General features: G+C 52.1%; 1 protein-coding gene across 15 annotated transcripts in view, besides 4 other annotated features; it reads right to left on the bottom strand.

Annotated features, from left to right (window-relative positions):
* LRRC8A (leucine rich repeat containing 8 VRAC subunit A) overlaps positions 1-18,667 on the bottom strand; it is a 35,907-nt gene that overhangs the window by 13,934 nt on the left and 3,306 nt on the right. For 7 of the 15 annotated variants that reach the window (NM_019594.4, XM_005252096.5, XM_006717186.3 and 4 more), the window contains one exon: positions 17,985-18,091. The exons of 1 other annotated variant lie outside the window; for it this stretch is intronic. The gene's annotated coding sequence lies outside the window, so the exon portion shown is untranslated. Of the gene's footprint in view, positions 1-11,660; positions 11,722-11,947; positions 12,040-17,984; positions 18,092-18,667 lie in introns of all 15 variants that reach the window. 7 more of the 15 variants (XM_011518864.3, XM_047423599.1, XM_047423598.1 and 4 more) reach the window with 3 other exon arrangements.
* Positions 193-365: a silencer, noted in NCBI's record as "fragment chr9:131666020-131666192 (GRCh37/hg19 assembly coordinates)". NCBI's record gives its function as "represses an EF-1alpha promoter that drives an FKBP-Casp9 reporter gene in an ReSE screen in K562 erythroleukemia cells {active_cell/tissue: K562}" and the evidence as "EXISTENCE:reporter gene assay evidence [ECO:0000049][PMID:32094911]".
* Positions 3,849-3,988: an enhancer, noted in NCBI's record as "active region_29095". NCBI's record gives its function as "activates an Ori minimal core promoter by ATAC-STARR-seq in GM12878 lymphoblastoid cells {active_cell/tissue: GM12878}" and the evidence as "EXISTENCE:reporter gene assay evidence [ECO:0000049][PMID:35858748]".
* Positions 11,255-11,862: an enhancer, noted in NCBI's record as "H3K4me1 hESC enhancer chr9:131654523-131655130 (GRCh37/hg19 assembly coordinates)". NCBI's record gives its function as "activates a minimal SCP1, AML or CMV promoter by ChIP-STARR-seq in naive H9 embryonic stem cells {active_cell/tissue: H9 hESC(naive)}" and the evidence as "EXISTENCE:reporter gene assay evidence [ECO:0000049][PMID:30033119]".
* Positions 17,898-18,660: an enhancer, noted in NCBI's record as "H3K27ac-H3K4me1 hESC enhancer chr9:131647725-131648487 (GRCh37/hg19 assembly coordinates)". NCBI's record gives its function as "activates a minimal SCP1, AML or CMV promoter by ChIP-STARR-seq in naive H9 embryonic stem cells {active_cell/tissue: H9 hESC(naive)}" and the evidence as "EXISTENCE:reporter gene assay evidence [ECO:0000049][PMID:30033119]".

The raw sequence follows: 18,667 nt of genomic DNA, 5'->3' as shown, positions 1-18,667 counted from the left end.
CAGATGATGGGCCACCTTTCTTTGATTACTGATAATGTTAATAACCAGAATAGTAACAAACTTTTTTTTTTTCCCTTTTTGAGACAGTCTCACTCTGTCACCCAGGCTGGGGTGCAGTGGCATGATCCTGACTCACTGCAACCTCTGCCTCCTGGGTTTAAGTGATTCTCATGTTTCAATCTCCCAAGTGGCTGGGATTACAGACGCCCGCCACCACATCCAGCTAATTTTTGTATTTTTAGTAGAGACGGTGTTTTGCCATGTTGGCCGGGCTGGTCTTGAATTCCTGGCCTCAACCAATCCACCTGCCTTGGCCTCCCAAAGTTCTGGGATTACAGGCGTGAGCCACCGTGCCCGGCCTAGGTAGGAACTCTTTAAGAACAGCACTTCTCGGGCCAGGCACAGAGGCTCACGCCTGTAATCCCAGCACTTTGGGAGGCCAAGGCGGGCGGATCACGAGGTCAGGAGATCGAGACCATCCTGGCTAACAAGGTGAAACTCCGTCTCTACTAAAAATACAAAAAAATTAGCCGGGCATAGTGGCAGGCGCCTGTAGTCCCAGCTGCTTGGAAGGCTGAGGCAGGAGAATGGCGTGAACCCGGGAAGTGGAGCTTGCAGTGAGCCGAGATCACGCCACTGCACTCCAGCCTGGGTGACAGAGCGAGGTGCCGACTCAAAAAAAAAAAAAAAAAAGAACAGCACCTCTCTGCAAATGCCAAACACTCCCCAGCCCCAATCTTTCTAGGCTATGCTGGATGGGGAGGACAGGAGGAAGGCAGAGCAGGACCCCATGTGAGGCAGGTGGAATGGGGCACTCAGCAAGGGTGATGATGGCCACAGCCAGTGCTGAGGGCCTGGAAGTGTGCCAGGCACCAGGCAGGCCTCCCCTGCAGGCCCTCCTAGGGTCATCCTTGATGCCCAAGAGGCCAGGCCTCTATAGCCCCATCCCAGAGATGGGGGTGCTAAGGCTCAGGAAGGTGACATCACCTGCCAACATCCCCCTGCTATTAAGGGGCAGAGTAGAGTAAGAACAAACCCAGCAGGCCTGTCCCTCTACCACCGGGCTCAGGTCCTCGCCACCATGTGGGACTTGCCCTCCGCCTGCCCAAGGTCTCACCCAGGCGGTGCCAAGAGAAACAGGACTGGGAGTGCAGCTTCCCCGCCCCTCAGCATTACCAGCGCTCAGGTCACAAAGGGGCCAGCAGACACCACCGCCCGCCCTGGGCTGGCAGCTCCAGGCCAGAAGTCAGTCCTCCTAGTGATGCCAGGACTCACGGGCCAGGGCAAGCACCCGCCCCACAGGAAGGCCCGGGCCCTCTAATGACCAGGTGGGTCCACGCACCACCTACACTGCTGGGAAAGAAAGTGGCACTGGGAGAGCTTCTGAATCACACAGCTGCCTCCACTGAGACATGTGGACACCTGGAGTCCCCATCCAGGGCCAGGACCTAAAGACTGGGGAACAGAAGAGGGAGGAGAGGAGCCCGGTGCATGCAGCAGCCTGCCTGCCCCCAAGTCTGGAATGAGACAGCCAGGGCGGGCGCGGCTGTTTGAGCGGGCAGGATGTGGTGACAATGATACTGCAACACCTCCCTCGTGTTCAGGGAGTGGGGTGTGTTCGCTCACAGAAACACCTGCTTCCTCTGCGAGGAGCCGCCCCAGCCCCGCCGACCTGGGGCTTGTCTGTACCACCCAGACTCCTCCTTCTGAGGCAGGAAGTGTTCCCAGCTCAGTCACACAGGTGAGGGAAACTGAGGCTCACAGAGGCAAAACCACCTGCCCAAGGCAGGAAACACCGTCCCAATCAGGTCTGATTCTGACCACCCGCCCCAACTCCGTGCTTGGTCTGGGAACATCCGGACTCTGTTCAGCCCTTGGCTAGGTCCAGCGGGGGTAAAAAAAAATGATCAAGGTGGGACTTCTGCTTCAGGTTCCTCTCTCCAGTTTGAGTGTGTCTGGGGAGTGGAGGAGGGCCCTGGGGTTCCAATGGCAGAGCCTGGGGCTGGCTGCAGAGCTGAGAAGGGCCTGGACTGGAGTCTCTCACAGGCCTGGCCCGGCTGGTGCCTGGGCCTACCCCTGGTAAGGGTAACCTGTCTGGAGGGGTCACCCCCAGCTGCACCCGTTTCCTTGTCCTCTGCTGTGTGATTCTGGAAAAGTCACTGCCCCTCTCTGATGGGGCTTCGGGGGAGATCAGGAAAGAGGGTGCAGGCACCAAATCCAGGGTTGAGTTCCCAAGGGTGTGGGGAAAGGAGCCCCACCCCAACAGGAGCCAGCCGGGTGGTCAGAGCCACCTGCCTGCCCCCTACAGGGGCAGGCTCCCTCCCACACGGCTCTTGCCGAGGATGAAGAGGGGAAGCCAGTACCAAGGTGTGGGCCTGGACTCTGGTAGCCTCTCTGTGGGACCTTGGACAAGCTCTTCACTGCTTGCAGCCTCAGTTTCTTCACATACATGGTGGGCATGATACCACGCAGGGCTGCTGGGAGGAGGCCATGGAATTATTTTAATTAAATGGGACGGGGTCTTGCTATGTTGTCCAGGCTGGTCTCAAACTCCTGGCCTCAAGCAATCCTCCTGCTTTGGCCTCCAGAGTAGCTGGACTGTAGGCATGTAGCACCACACTAGGGTAAAAAAAAATTTTTTTTTTGAGGCAGTCTCACACTATTGCCAGGCTGGGGTGCAGTGGCACGATCTGGGCTCACTGCAATCTCCGCCTCCCAGGTTCGAATAATTCCCCTGACTCAGCCTCCCAAGCAGCTGGCACTACAGGCGCGCCACCACCACGGCCGGCTAATTTTTCATATTTTAGTCAAGACGGGGTTTCACTATGTTGGCCAGGATGGTTTCCATCTCCTGACCTCATGATCCACCCGCCTTGGCCTCCCAAAGTGCTGGGATTACAGGCATGAGCCACTGTGCCCGGTCTGTTTTTTTTGAGATGGAGTCTTGCTCTATCGCCCAGGCCGGAGTGCAGTGGCACGATCTCGGCTCAATGCAACCACCACCTCCCGAGTTCAATCAACTCTCCTGCCTCTGCCTCTGGAGTAGCTGGGATTACAGGCGTGCACCACCATGCCCGGATAATTTTTATATTTTTAGTAGAGACAGGGTTTTACCATGTTGGTCAGGCTGGTCTCGAGCTCCTGACCTCATGATCTGCCCACCTCAGCTTCCCACAGTGCGGGGATTACAGGTGTGAGCCACTGCGCTGGGCCTCACACTGGACTAATTTAAAATAAAAATTTGAGAGATGGGGTCTTGCTATGTTGCCCATTTGGCCTCAAACGCCTGAACTTGAGTGATCCTCCCACCTCAGCCTCCTAAGTAGCTGGGACTACGGGCATGAGCTACTGCACCCAGCAAGTCTTAGGAACTAAATGCTTTTATTTTTATTTTTATTTTGAGACGGAGTCTCAATCTGTCACTCAGGCTGGAGCAGTGGCATGATCTCAGCTCACTGCAACCTGTACCTCCTGGGTTCAAACGATTCTCCTCCCTCAGTCTCCTGAGTAGCTAGGATTATAGGCGCCCACCACCATGCCCGGCTAATATTTGTATTTTAGTAGAGACAGGGTTTCACCATGTTGGTTAGGCTGGTCTTAAACTCCTGACCTCAAGCGATCTGCCCACCTCAGCTTCCCAAAGTGCTGGGATTACAGGCATGAGCCACTGCGTCCAGCCCCCAAATGCTTTTAAAGTGCTTTGTGCAGAGTGGGGCGCAGTCAGCCCAGGCTGGTATAATCTTTCTTCCACCTCCTCAGCACCTAGTGAAGCCAGATTCTCTTTGAGGACAAGAGTCAATTGTTAGGACTCGATACACTCAGAGTCTCTCCCAGAGAGCACCTGAAAGGGGACAAGGTGGGGTGGGGTGCTGCAGGGCGTGGGCCCCCGGTGTGGTGGAGAGGCCAGCAGCAGTTTCAGGTGGATGTGGGTTGGGGCTGGGGTAGGGAAGGCAGCTAAAGCCAGGAAGCCTGGGCCCTTCCTTTCCCTGCCCAGCCCTGAGGAATCCCCACAGGGAGGGGCCCAGTGCAAGGACCTGCCCAGGAACTCAGGACTGCAGATGACTAGATACCCACAAGAGAGCAGTTCCAGTTCAGAAACAGACAACCAAGGCCAAGGCCAGATTCTCCCCTGCACTGAGCCAGGAGGTCCCCATTGTTTCCAGGTCCATTTTTTCCCCTCAATTTTTTTAGACTGTCATAAAACACATGTAACTGAAAATGTACCATCTTACCCATGTTCAGGGGTGTAGTTCAGTGGCATGAAGCACATTCACTGTTGTGCAACCATCACCACCATACACAGAACTCTCTTCATCTCGTTAAACTGAAACCCACACCCCTTAAACACGACACCCCTTCCTCCCACCGCCTCCAAGCACTCCATCCCACTTCCTCTCTCTGTCAATCTGACTTCTCTAGGGACCTCATGTAAGTGGAATCATAAGGTATTTGTCCTTTTGTGATGGGCTGTATCACTTAACGTAATGTCCTCAAGGCTCACCACGTTCTAACACATATGAGAATGTCCTTTTGTTAAGGCTTTTTTTTTTAAGGTGTCCATTTTATAACCACGGAAACCGGCTCAGAGACAGAAGTCTTCTGCCCAACTTCATACCGCCTATAAGTGACAGAGGTGGCGTTCAAACCTGGATTTACAGTGGGCCCAGACAGGCAGCACCTCCAGGGTGGGCCATTCAGATGGAGCAGACCCCACCGAGAGCCCTTCTTGGGGTGCACCTGGGTGTGGTCAGAAATGCCCCGGAAGGGAAGGGAGCCTTTGAGGCGTGGGGTGGGGGTGGCTGGGCTATCTCTGCCTTACGGAAAGTGCCCTTGCTTATCCTCCCTGTGCTCGGCCCTCTCAGCTGGCACTGCGTCCTGGCGGAGCTGTGGAACAGCTTCTCTCCCAGGGCCTCAGTTTCCCTGTATAGAAAGGAGCAGCAAACCTGTTAAACATGTGTCCATGTTGTGTAAAAAATGGGCCAAGGGGTGGGTGCGCCCAGGCCTCTGCCCAGCCTGGACTCCTCCTTCCCCCTCAGCTGCCCACCCCCGCGTCAGACTGCTGGGCTGTGACTGCAGAGCTGCCGCCACCATCACAGACACCCCTTGTCCCGACTGTTCTGGCCTCCAGCTGGCAGAGAGGGAGGGGCTATCCAGGAGCCAGGACGCCTTCCCCTCTCAGCACCTTGGTTCCCCATGGTAACATGGCGGAAGGTGACAAATGCCCTGTGGGCTCTCAGGACTATCATGAAGATCACAGAAATGAGGCTTCCCAAACTACCTGTGTGAGAGCCCAGGTCAGTGGAGAGCAAGCCTACATGAGCTTGGAGGCAAGGGCCGGGCCAGGGCCAGACTGGCTCTGCTACTTGTGATGTTGGGCAGGTGACTTCACCTCTCTGAGCCTTAGTTACCCCATCTTTGAATGGGGCTAAAGATAGGCCCTGCCTTAGAGGGCTGCTAAAAGGCCAGGGCCTGAAACATTCAACACATCCAGTGTGCCAAGGCCAGCCAGAGCCTGCGGGTGGATGTGAACAGGAAGTGGAGAGCAAAATAGGCCTGGCCCAGCCCTGCCAGAGCAACCCTGACTTCAGGAGACACCTGGTGAGTGAATGAAAAGTGCATTCGAGAGTTAAGTTGGGAAATGGAAGAAGGAAAACCATCAGAGGGCTCCAGGACACCTGGTAAAGAGACAGGCGGGGCCTGGCACGCAGTAGGTGGACAATAAGCACACCCTGGTTAAAGAAGCTACTGGATCAACTACTTGGGAGGCTGAGGCAGGAGAATTGCTTGAACCCAGGTGGTGGAGGTTGCAGTGAGCTAAGATCGCACCACTGCCCTCCAGCCTGGGCGACAGAGCAAGACTCCGTCTCACAAAACAAACAAACAAAAAACATACTCAATGATCAGATAAGGGAATACTATGCAATCCCAAAAGTGCATTAGAACAAAACACTTGATAACAAGAGGAAATGTTCAAAGTATGTTAAATCTAAAAAGTACATAACCCCTCTGCCATAAATTACACACACACACACACACACACACACACACACACACACACACACACACTGAACAATCTTAGAAGTGAGGTTAGACTGCTGTTTATTACCCTTTTTCACCCCAAACTTATCTTTTTTTTTTTTTTTTTGAGACAGAGTCTCACTCTGTCATCCAAGCTGGAGTGCAATGTCGCGAGCCACTGCCCCTGCCCTCTATTTTTTTATTATAACCATTTGTTACTCATAATTAAGAAAAAAGATTATTTTGCCAGGCACGGAGGTGTACGCCTGTAATCCCAGCACTTTGGAAGGCCGAGGTGGGAGGATCACCTGAGGTCAGGAGTTTGAGACCAGCCTGACTAACATGGTGAAACCCCATTTCTACTAAATACAAAGAATTAGCCAGGCGTGCTGCAGGGCACCTGTAATCCCAGCTACTTGGAAGGCTGAGGCAGGACAATCACTTGAACCCAGGAGGCGGAGACTGCAGTGAGCCGAGATTGCGCCATTGCACCCCAGCCTGGGCAACAAGAATAAAACTGTCTCAAAAAAAAAATTTTTTTTTAAATCACGATCTCAAAGGATCAAGAATAGCTAAGACAGGCCGTGTGCTGTGGCTCACGTCTGTAATCCCAGCACTTGAGGAGGCTGAGGTGGGCTGATCACCTCAGGAGTTTGAGACCAGCCTGGCCAACATGGCGGAATCCTGTCTCTACTAAAAATATAAAAAATTAGCCAGGTGTGGTGGAGGCACCTGTAATCCCAGCTACTCGGGAGGCTGAGGCAGGAGAATTGCTTGAGCCAGGGAGGTGGAGGCTACAGTGAGCCAAGATCTCCAGTCTGAGCAACAAGAGTGAAACTCCATCTCAAAAAGAAAAGAAAAATCAGAGACTGTCTTAATGTCATTAAGATAGGAATATCTTACCACAAAATGTATAAATCCTTATAGGAAACGTAACGTATTGATCACATTAAAGTTAAAGCATACATCGAAAGACATAATAATAAACAAGTGAAAAGAAGCCACAGACTAGGAAGAGTTATTTCCAAAGTTTAAAACTACCAAAAGATTAATATCCAGAATACAGCCGGGCACAACTGCTCACGCCTGTAATCCCAGAACTTAGGGAGGCTGAGGCAGGTGGATCATTTGAGGTCAGGAGTTTGAGACCAGCCTGGCCAACATGCTGAAACCCCATCTCTACTAAAAATACAAAAAAATTAGCTGGGCCTGGTGGCACATGCCTGTAGTCCCAGCTACTCAGGAGGCTGAGGCAGGAGAATCCCTTGAACTCAGGGGGCGGAGGTTGCGGTGAGCAGACATCGTACCACTGCACTCCAGCATGGGTGACAGAGCAAGACTCTGGCTCAAAGAAAAAAATAAAGAAAGAAAGAAAAAAGAAAAGATTAGTATCCAGAATAAATACAGAAATCCTGCATAAATAAGACAAAAACAATCCAATGAGGGGAAATGGCAAAATATACGCATAGGCAATTCACAGGGGAAAAATGCAAATGGAACCAATGTATGAAATAATTCTTAGCCTTGCTAGTAATCAAGGAATGTAAATTAAAACGATCACATATCACTTCACTCCCCCAATTGGCAAAAACTGTGAACTCTTAGAGAAGGTAGGATGCACGTACTCTACAACCCAGCAACTCCTCTCCTCATTATTTATGCATCTTAGAAAGCTGCTCCACACATAAGTGAGAAACCACACACAAGGATGCTCACTGAAGAATTGTTTGTAATAGCAAAAAATCAGAAATGACCCACATGTTCATCAACAGGAGAAAGGATACGTTGTTCTAATCATACAATGGAAATGCTTTAAATCAATTAAAGTTAATGAACTGTAGCAACATGTATCAATGTGGATAAACCTCAAAAGCAATGTTGATCCAAAAAACAAGTTGTAGATGATGCATATGTTATATAAGGTTTTCTACAAGGTGTATACCCAAGTATACCGAAGATACAAAAGCATGCATGGAAAGTCTCCAAACCAAGATAATGATTGTATCTAGGGAGGGAAGAAAATGGGGAAGGGACTTCAACTGTGCTTGGAATATTTTACTTAAGTGCCTGCGCACATTCAAGTGTGTGCGTGCGTGCATGTGTGTATCTGAAACAATTACTGCAAAACACTGAAGTCTGACAAAGCTGAGTTCTTGATATGGATGTATCTGTTCTAGTTTTTATACTTTTCTTAAACCATTTCATCACACAAAACTCACTGAAACACTCATGCATTCCTACCCTGCATAGCCAGTGCTCTCCCCAACCTCCCACAGGCGAAGGCTCAGCGGGGAGCAGCAGCTACTGCATCTTACCAGGTTACCGGAGCAGCAGAGGCAGCTCCTCCTACCAGCTGCTGCTCCTCAGCCCCTGAGGACCCTGCAGAACTCGTAAGCACTCCCTACCTGGTCCTGCCCTGCCCCCAGGGAGATGTAGAAGTGGGCATCATGCAGAACAGGCCCTTCCCACAAGGCAGCTCAAGCAGGTGCCTAGGACAAATGGGACCAGGTTCCTGGCCAGGGCCAGGGCATCTCTGTGCCTGGGGGTTAAATGAGTAACCCAGAGAGCCCCAGCCTTCCCTCAGGCACAGGTGGATCTCAGGGAGCAGAGAGAGCAAGGACTTGGAGTTTGGGACATGTAGGTTCAAATCCAGCTCCAGCAAGAAATAATTCTGTGACCCCAGGCAAATTGTTTAGCCTAAGCCTCTGCTTTTACAACTTATTTTATTTTATCTTGGAGACAGTCTTGCTTTGCTCCGTGGCCCAGGCTGGAGTGCAGTGGCACGGTCTTGGCTCACTGCAACCTCCACCTCCCGGGTTCAAGTGATTCTCCTACCTCAGCCTCCCGAGCTTCTACAACTTTAAATCAGGAATAACGCCACCTTCCTTGTAGATGTGTATGCAGTGACCCCAGAGACATCTAAGAGATATTAAGCATAAAAGAATTTTGCTGAGCAGTATATAAAATGTGTTATCTGCGAAAGAAGCCAGTCATAAAAGGCAAATACTTTGATTTCACTTATTCACATAAGTGAATAGACAGAAAACAGAAGGGATACCAGGGCCTGGGGGAGCAGGAAATGGGGAGTGAGCGTTTAATGGGTGCAGAGAGTTTCAGTTTTGCAAGATGAAAACAGTTCTGGAGATGGGTGGTAGTGATGGATACACAATATGAATGTACTTAATACCATTGAAGTGTACACTTACAAATGGTTAAGGTGGTAAATTTTATGTCATGTGTATTTTACCACAATGAAAAAAATTAGGAAATATGATATCTTTTTTTTTTTTTTTTTGAGGTAGAGTCTCACTCTGTTGCCAAGGCTGGAGTACAGTGGTGTGGTCTTGGCTCACTGCAAACTCTACCTCCTGGGTTCAAGCGATTCTCCTGCCTCAGCCTCCCAAGTAGCTGGGACTACAGGTGTGTGCCACCACTCCTGGCTAATTTTTGTATTTTTACTAGAGATGGGGTTTTGCCATGTTGGCCAGGGTGGTCTCAAACTCCTGACCTCAAGTGATTCACCTGCCTTGGTGTCCCAAAGTGCTGGGATTACAGGTGTCAGCCACTGTACCTGGTCTGTTACTGGTATAATTTTTTTTTTTTTGAGATGGAGTCTCACTCTGTTGCCCAGGCTGGAGTGCAGTGGCATGATCTCTGCTCACTGCAAGCTCTGCCTCCCAGGTTCACGCCATTCTCCTGCCTCAGCCTCCCAAGTAGCTGGGACTATAGGCACCCACCACAATGCCCGGCAAATTTTTTTGTATTTTTAGTACAGACGGGGTTTCATCGTGTTAACCAGGATGATCTCGATCTACTGACCTTGTGATCTGCCTGCCTCAGCCTCCCAAAGTGCTGGGATTACAGGTGTGAGCCACCATGCCTGGCAATTTTTTAAAACAAGAATGATGGCTGGGCACGGTGGCTCACGCCTGTAATCCTAGCACTTTGGGAGGCCGAGGTGGGTGGATTACTTGAGGTCAGGAGTTTGAGACCAGCCTGGCCAACATGGCGAAACCCCGTCTCTACTAAAAATACAAAAAAATTAGCTGGGCGTGGTAGCACACAACTGTAGTCCCAGCTACTCAGCAGGCTGAGGCAGGAGAATCACTTGAACCCGGGAGGCGCAGGTTGCAGTGGGCCGAATCTGTGCTGCTGTACTCCTGCCTGGGTGACAGAGTGAGACTCTGTCTCAAAAAATAAAATTATATCAATAACAAACTCATTACTGTGTACAGAAAAGAATTTAGAAAGCTATGCACAGAACTATATATAGTTAAGTCTACTCGTGGTGAGACTGTAGAGGGCTGTCTATATTATACATTCTTCCATTATTTAAATCTGGTATGTTTATGAGTAGAAAAACTGCTTGGAAATAAATCAAAAGACCTTCCTCACTGTGTGGTTTCTCAGGATGATAAAAGAATTTATGCGTAGCTGCCATCCGTACATTAGAAACAGGTCAGCCTCATCCTCCCTGCCCTGCCTCGTAACACTCACGCTCAGCAGCTTGCGGTCCTCACCTCCTGGGAGCAGAGCAGGGAGGAGTTCAGACCCCAGAGTTGGGCAACTCAAACGCCAACCCCACTACTGCCTCACTGGGGCCTCAGAGCCTCTGTGTCCTCAACTGCAAGATGGAAATATTACATCCTAAAATGGGTTATAGCTGTGAAATGGGTTATCGTGAGAATTAAAAGTAAGGCATCATGTGTCAATACAGCACCGGGCACACTCAGGCTGTCGTTCCACGGTCCCACCTGCCATCGCAGATGACCCTCCCAGAATTCAGTGGGGACTGACCTGGGTGAGGGCGGAGCCTCAAGCACCATGTCTCTGAGCAGGGCCAGACCACTCAGAGACCCACAGGACCCCCCAGGACTCGCAGAACCTCGAAAACTCGCAGACCACTCAGAGACCCTCCCAGGCTCAGGACCCCGTGTGGCAGAGTTGGCCATCTGCTCTCAGAGCCAGTCATTAGGTTCAGCCCCAGTCCACATCCCCTGGATGCTTCTCGAAGACAGGGAGTCAAGAAATGACAAGCTGCCCACTCTGTCCCAGAGAGAGACCCCCCCAGCACGCACCAGACCCCATGTGGGCCCACAGGGATTTGGCGTGGCTCCCACACCTGGGCGGCAGGCAGTCGGGCTGCGGGTAAACAGGGCACAGAGAGCCTTTTGTGAAAGCACAAACAAGGCTGAGCCAGGAAAACTTCCCAAGCAGGAGGGGAGGCGGGAGGTTGGCACCCCTCCTGTACCAGAGATGGGAAGGCTGGCCCTCCAGTGCTCTCCCAGGGAGCGCGAAGGGGCCGCTCTCAACAGGCCCTGTCCCGGGAGGGTTCCAAGCCTGTGGATCTGCTCCCACCACGGGCCATGGGTCATGTGCTTCCCCTGTCCCAGAGCCAGAGTGGGAGGAGAGGTCTCAGCCTCGTCTGGCACACACAGCCTCCACCCTCCCCAGGGCGGACACTGCCCTGGAGGCCCCCACACCCAGCTGGGGTGAGTCAGAGGCTGCTGGCTGGGGGTGTTGCCTGGCTTGGGACTCGCCCTGTGTAGAAGGGTACACCCTCACTTCCTGGGGAGAGGAAGAGGGGAGACGCCAGGGCTGGAGGGGGAGGGGAGCACGGGTCAGTTCCAAACTGCTCTCACCTGGGCTGGGCTCCCAAACAGGTTCATCCTCACACCAACTTGCAAGGGCGTGGCCCGCCTTCTAGGGTGAAAGGCAACAGGTGAGGGACACCCACCTGGGCTTCCCCCAGCAGCTCCGGAGCCAAGCAGAGAGAGGCAGCAGGTGGGGCTGGAGGTGCAGCCTCAGGACCTGCCCTCGCCCTGCCAGGCTGGGGCAGGAGCGCCCAGTTACTGACCGTCAACTAAGTGCCCAGTATGTCCTTGCCCCATCTCCCAACCTTCATGCATAGCAGCAAGGTGGCACCCACCTCACCACGAGACCGTGAGAAAGTCCCTTCACCTCGCTGGGCTCTGGTTTCCTCATCTGTAAAATGGGTTGACAAGTCTATTGCTTGGAGGGCTGTGATGAGGACAGAAGGAGACAGTCCATATAAAGCTTTTGGACTAGTGCCTGCCATACAGTAAGGCTCTGGAACGTTCACTGCTGTTATTATTATGGTAGAGTTTAAATCAGTCCTTTTATGGGTGTGATGTCGGAGGCCCAGAGAAGTTTGGTAACCTGCCCAAGGCCACACAGCTAGGAAGAGCTGGGAAGATGCACCCCAAGCCCGACTTTCCATTGTGCCAACCTGCCTCAAAGACAAGCAGGCCTCCCGGACCCACCTGGGACCCAGGCCCTTGAAGATACTTCTTGAGACAAGATACTCTTTTCCTTAGGGGGTACATGGAAACCAGGGCTCTACAGGGAACCCCATCAGGCCATACTCAGATGCCTCTGGTCTCACGGGTACTGCTATAAGGAAGCTCTGGAAGGGAGCCTAGCCCTGGGTTTAGGGCCAGAAGGCAGTGTTGGGTCTGGGCCCTGGGGGCAGAAGGGCCTAGAAGGCAGGCCGTTTTATTTTTTTTGAGACAGGATCTTGCGCTGTCGCCGAGGCTGGAGCACAATGGTGCGATCATGACTCACTGCAACTTTGAACTCCTTGGCTCAAGCGATCCTCCAGCCTCAGCCTCCGAGTAGCTGAAACTACAGGCATGTGCCACCACACCTGGCTATTTTTAAAAATTTTTTGTAGAGATAGGTTGTTATGTTGCCCAGGCTGGTCTGGAACTCCTGGGTTCAAGCAGTCCTCCAGTCTCAACCTCTAAGTAGCTGGAACTACATGCACATGCCACCACACCTGGCTAATTTTTTTTTTTAGACGGGATCTCACTCTGTCACCAGGCTAAAGTGCAGTGGCACAATCTCGGCTCACTGCAACCTTCGCCTCCCGGGTTCAAGTGATTCTCCTGCCTCAGCCTCCCAAGTAGCTGGGATTACAGGTGCATGTCACCATACCCGGCTGATTTTTGTATTTTTTAGTAGAAACGGGGTTTCACCATGTTGGCCAGGCTGGTCTTGAACTCCTGACCTCAGGTGATCCACCTGCCTCAGCCTCCCAAAGTGCTGAGCCACTGTGCCTGGACTAATTTTTTTTTTATTTTTGTAGAGACAGGTCACTATGTTGCCCAGGCTGGTCTGGAACTCCTGGGCTCAAGCAATCCTCCACCTCAGCCTCCCAAAGTGCTGGGATTACTGGTGGGAACCGCCACGTCCAGCCAACGTTTGTTGGCTCATATTTGCACATGGAGTCACGGCCACACACGGTTTACAGGTCTTAACCTGTTATGAATACCAGCGCTGCCTTCTTAGACAGGTTATGAAATGTGGCCACCAGTACCCTAGAGAGGCAGCAGACACATCTTCTGCTGAGATCCCAGGGGAGTGGGCACTGGCCAAGCCCTAGGTGAGCCAGGGGGAGGACTGGGGGGTCTGACAGAGGGTGAGCTGCCTGGTACCCGACTCTCTGGGATGGAAGGGGGCTACCCCCAGGGATCCTGACTCATGGAGTCAGCTGGGAGATGCGAGGTGTCCCTTCAGGGCCAGGATTCCCGCCCACCGCCCCCGCTGCTGGTCAGTGCGTTTGTCATGCTGCCCGTCAGAGGGCGCAGGTTTGGCAGTGGCACTCTGACGGCGTCCAGGTGGCACGTGAAAGCTATGGAATTTTACAGCCACTTTTACTCCACTGGAACATTGCTCTAGGCGTGAGGCTTAGATTGCAGCAAGCAATTTAATTTTGAGGTTTTAAGCCCTCAAGAGACGTTTAGATGTAGACAAACTTGCTGCAAGACGCAAGACGCAACAGAAACGCATCTGGAAGACAGCAGGGAACATTTGTGGCTGGGAGTAAAAGCCCTTCTAGAAACCTCAGCCCCACACGTCCTTGAGGAGGGAAGGTTAAGCCCCTCGCCTTCCCAGCACACACACACACACACACACACACACACACACACACACAAAATGAAGCCACTAAAAAACAACTGTCTGGCCAGGTGCGGTGGCTCACACCTGTAATCCCAGCACTTTGGGAGGCCGAGGTGGGTGGATCACCTGAGGTCAGGAGTTCGAGACCAGCCTGACCAACAAGGTGAAACCCCGTCTCTACTAAAAATACAAAAATTAGCCAGGCGTGGTGGTGCACATCTGTAATCCCAGCTACTTGGGAGGCTGAGACAGGAGAATCACTTGAACCCAGGAGGCAGAGGCTGCAATGAGCCAAGATGGCACCATTGCACTCCAGTCTGGGCAACAGAGCAGGATTCCATCTCAAAAAAGTAAAATTAAATTAAAAAAATTGGCCAGGCGCAGTGGCTCACGGCTGTAGTCCTGGAACTTTGGAGAACAAGGTGGGTGGATCACAAGGTCAGGAGATCGAGACCAGCCATGGCCAATATGGTGACACCCCGTCTCTACTAAAAATACAAAAATTAGCTGGGCATGGTGGCGGGCACCTGTAGTCCCAGCTACTCGGGAGGCTGAGGCAGGAGAATAGCTTGAACCTGGGAGGTGGAGGTTGCAGTGAGCAAGATTGTGCCACTGCACTCCAGCCTGGGTGACAGAGCAACACTCCATCTCAAAATAATTAATTAATTAATTAAACAAAAAAAAAAAAACCTGTCCAGTCCCAGTCCTGTGGGGAGCTCAGCCCTGCTTCCACACCAAGGGCATGAGTTCTGCGGTAGACGACTGGGACTAAGGCTGAAAGAATGGCGTCCGGTCAGTGTTTCTCAGCATTGTTTGTAGCCCACCAGCCTCACAACTGCTGGGGAAGCATCTTCAAAGTTCAGATTCCTGGGGCCAACCTTCCAGGGCAGACTCTGCAGGTCTGTGGTGGTGGGCCCAGGGGAACAGCATTTTAGACAAGCTTCCAGGTGACTTTGAAGGCCCCCAAAAGCCTGGGAACCTGAGAAAAGAGGGTAATGGAGGGTGAAGTAGAAAGAGCCCCAGCTGCCAAGCCATACCAACCTGGGTTCAAGTCCTAGCTTTGCCACATGTACACTGTATAACTTTGGGCCAGAGACCTCATCCCTCTGGGGCTTGGTCTGTAAAATGGTAAAGCAACCTCACACGCAAGGCTGTGGCGAAGGTAAGATGGGCAAATGCGTGCAGCATCCCAGCCTGTGGCTCAGCACTGAGACATGGTGCTGAGAATGACCACGGACTATGAAGGTGCTACTGCAGGAAGGAGAAGCCAGAGACGCTGAGCACCATCTGTGGAGGGGCCAGCTCTGCAGCTCTCTCCCAAGCAGTGTATGGGAGAGAAAAGAGACTCCTGGGGAAGAATGGAGGAAGTGACGTGGGGGAGGGAAAGCGACAGGACAGTGAGCCTGAAAAACACAGGTGAGATGTCAGGAGCTCTGGCACAGACCTCACTCCCAGCGCGATCCTGCCAGACGCTCTCGCAGCCCCGCAAAACGAGGCTGCCACGCCTGTATGCTCTCCTTGCCCAAACCCTTCCTGAGGTCAGCTATACCCCAAAAGAGAGCATCTTTGGACCCAGGTGGCAGGGTGGGCCCTCCTCCTGCTCCTCACCTGCCCACTCTCAGAACTAAAACTTGAAAGGAGCATGCCAAAAGGACCACAACCAACACTTCCTCCAGATACAGCAAGGGTAAACTGAGTCAGGGTCTGCCTGTTCCTTCCTATCCCCAGGAAGGGCTGGGCTCAGGAGAACAATGGCTCAGACTCAATTTGTCTCAGCTTGATTCATGTGTGTCCCCTGAACCCAGGTGGTGGGTGGAGGCCAAAACCCCTCAGGCCGGCCCATGCGGTTCATTCCACGCCATCCTTGGCAAAAAGGAGGAATTATGATCTGACAAGCAGGACCTGCTGCTTCCTGCTCAGCGCTGCCCAGCATGAAAGACTACAGCTCAGGCCTCCCCTCTCTCCAGGGGACAGAGTTCCTCAAAACCAACAGGAAACTCCTATGGGGCAGAGCCAGGAGTTGGCTGACCTTATCCCATAAACAGGAGAGTCGACACAATCACACACCAGGCACTTCCGACCTCCCTCTGCTGCTGTAAATGCCCAAACAGCTCAAAACTCCCAGCATGTGAGGGGGAGGGGCCAGGGGGGCTCAAGGGTGTGCATTCTGCCAGGACCACACACAGCTCTATCTACCTCTTGCATGGGAAAGAGGTCCAGGGGAGCCGGGCGCGGTGGCTCATGCCTATAATCCCAGCACTTTGGGAGGCCAAGGCGGCGGATCACAAGGTCAGGAGATCAAGACCATCCTGGCTAACATGGTGAAACCCCGTCTCTACTAAAAATACAAAAAAAATTAGCCGGGCGTGGTGGCGGGCGCCTGTAGTCCCAGCTACTCGGGAGGCTGAGGCAGGAGAATGGAGTGAACCCGGGAGGCAGAGCTTGCAGTGAGCTGAGATTGTGCCACTGCACTCCAGCCTGGGTGACAAAGACTCCATCTCAAAAAAAAAAGAGGTCCGGGGGATATCATTATATGAAACAAAAGCAAACTGTGAATCAGCAACTCAAACATGACCAGATTTTTATAAAAATAAGCAAATGGTAACAATAGATGTGGAAGAATATACCCCTTCCCATTCACACCTCTGAAGATGAGAATCAGCAGAGACTCATTTCCTAGATGACATTAAAGATCCAAACAGGTCTGGCATGGTGGCTCACACCCATAATCCCAGCACTTTAGGAGGCCAAGGCAGGAGCATCTCTTGAACCCAGGAGTTCGAGACCAGCCTGGGCAATGTAGAGAGGCTCTATCTCCATAATAAATAAATAAATAAAATTAGCTGGGCACAGTAGTGCACACCTGCAGTCCCAGCTAGTTGGGAGGCTGAGGCAGGAGGATCGCTGGAGCCTTGGAGATCGAGGCTGCAGTGAGTCATGATGGTGCCACTGCACTCCAGCCTGGGCAACAGAGTGAGACCCTGTCCCCCAAAAATAGCCAAACAGTATAAAACCATATAATGAATATACAACTATGTTGGTAATTACAAAAAAAAAAAATTACTATTTCTTTTAAAATCCAGGCTGGGAGACTCAGGCCTTCCTTCACACAAAAAACTGAGGTGAGAGATAAAGGCAGGAAGGCCTCAGGGCAGACAACAGAAGACCCTGGCCCAGGATTCCAGGGTCTGGATTCAAGCCGCATGTCCTTGCCTTCTTTACAGATGAGTCTGGGCAAGCTGCTTCCTCACTCTGATTCTCAGTTTCCACATCTGTAAACTGGAGATAATGGCCACTGCCTAAGCATCCTCAAATGGTCAAATGAGATCACCGACCTGAGTATGTCTGGCAAATTACACAGCCGTCTATACACACACCAGCTATGACTCGGGACCACCTTCTAGGACATGCACTCTGCCAACTGCCTGCTCTATGTCAACATATTTAATCCTCCAAATGTTCTAAAGGGACTCTCCTGCCTCTGGGAACTGTTTTCCAAAGCACAGGCCAAGGAATCCCAGTCCCCAAAGATGTCTACACGATCAAATAAGTGTGGGGAAACACGAGTCGCTAGCTCCCTTATCGTGATCAGCTCAATCCTGATGACGGCTCTGATTCAAGACTCTGATAAGTCCTGCAGCAAGGATAACAAGAAGTCTTTGTTTCCTGGAATTATCAAACCACTGTGACCGAAGAAACTGGTGTCTCATGGAACACACTTGGGAAACGTGGTCCACGCTTTTTGGGAAATGTGGTCATGAGGCTGCATTAGCAAGACCCAGACTGATAAGATCTGGGGTGAAGGAGAAAAAACAGAGGTTTGCAATGAAACAACTCAGCATTCAATGAGTGCGGCAAGCACACATTACTCAGCGGGAGAAGGAGGAAGAGAGTAATTCTGCTGTCTGCCACTCTACCCTGGACCTACAGCAAGAAAAGCAAAGGACTGTGGGGATGGAGATGCTACCCTTTGCTCCCCAGGCTGGGAAGGGCACTTGACTGGAGCTGGAGCTGGCTGAGAAGGAGAGGGGCCCAGTCCTTACCCCAAGGATGGCTCTGCTATCTGCGCGTCGGCTGTCGGTGCTGAGGCTGGCCCGCGTCTGCCTGTGCAGGATCCTGGCATTCCTTTTGCTCCATGGACGCTGCCTCCCTACAAGGAAGCGAGAGCTGCCGTCAGCAGGCACATGTGTGACTGTCGCAGTTACCTGCCACACCGCCAGCACTTCCTGAGAGCCTGCTTGGTAGCAGGCCCTTGGCTGGGCTCTGGGGTGACAAAAGAGGTTTTTTTTGTATAGTGGTGCAATCTCGGTTCACTGCAACCTCCGCCTCCCGCATTCAAGTGATTCTCCTGCCTCAGCCTCTCGAGTAGATGGGATTTCAGGTGCGCACCACCAAGCCTGGCTAATTTTTTGTATTTTTAGTAGAGACAGCGTTTCCCCATGTTAGCCAGGCTGCTCTCAAACTCCTAACCTCCAGGGATCTGCCCGCCTCGGCCTCCCAAAGTATTGGGATTACAGGCATGAGCCACCGCGCCTGGCAGACAAAAGAGGTTCTGACAGAGCACCTCCCTCCAGAACCTGGTCTACTGAGGAGGTGCCAAGTCAGTAGCGACGGTCTGAGAGCTCAGAGCTCTGCTGCGGGGGAGCCAGGAGAAGCACTAGACCCAGACTAGTGGGGTCAGGGAAGGCTTTCTGGAGGAGGAGTTGTCTGAGTTGACTCCTAAGAG

This window comes from Homo sapiens, chromosome 9, assembly GCF_000001405.40.
Source record: "Homo sapiens chromosome 9, GRCh38.p14 Primary Assembly".
In the NCBI taxonomy this organism is placed as follows: Eukaryota; Metazoa; Chordata; class Mammalia; order Primates; family Hominidae; genus Homo; species Homo sapiens.
Note: the sequence above shows the minus strand (reverse complement) of the source record. Positions and strands in the feature narration are given on the sequence as shown.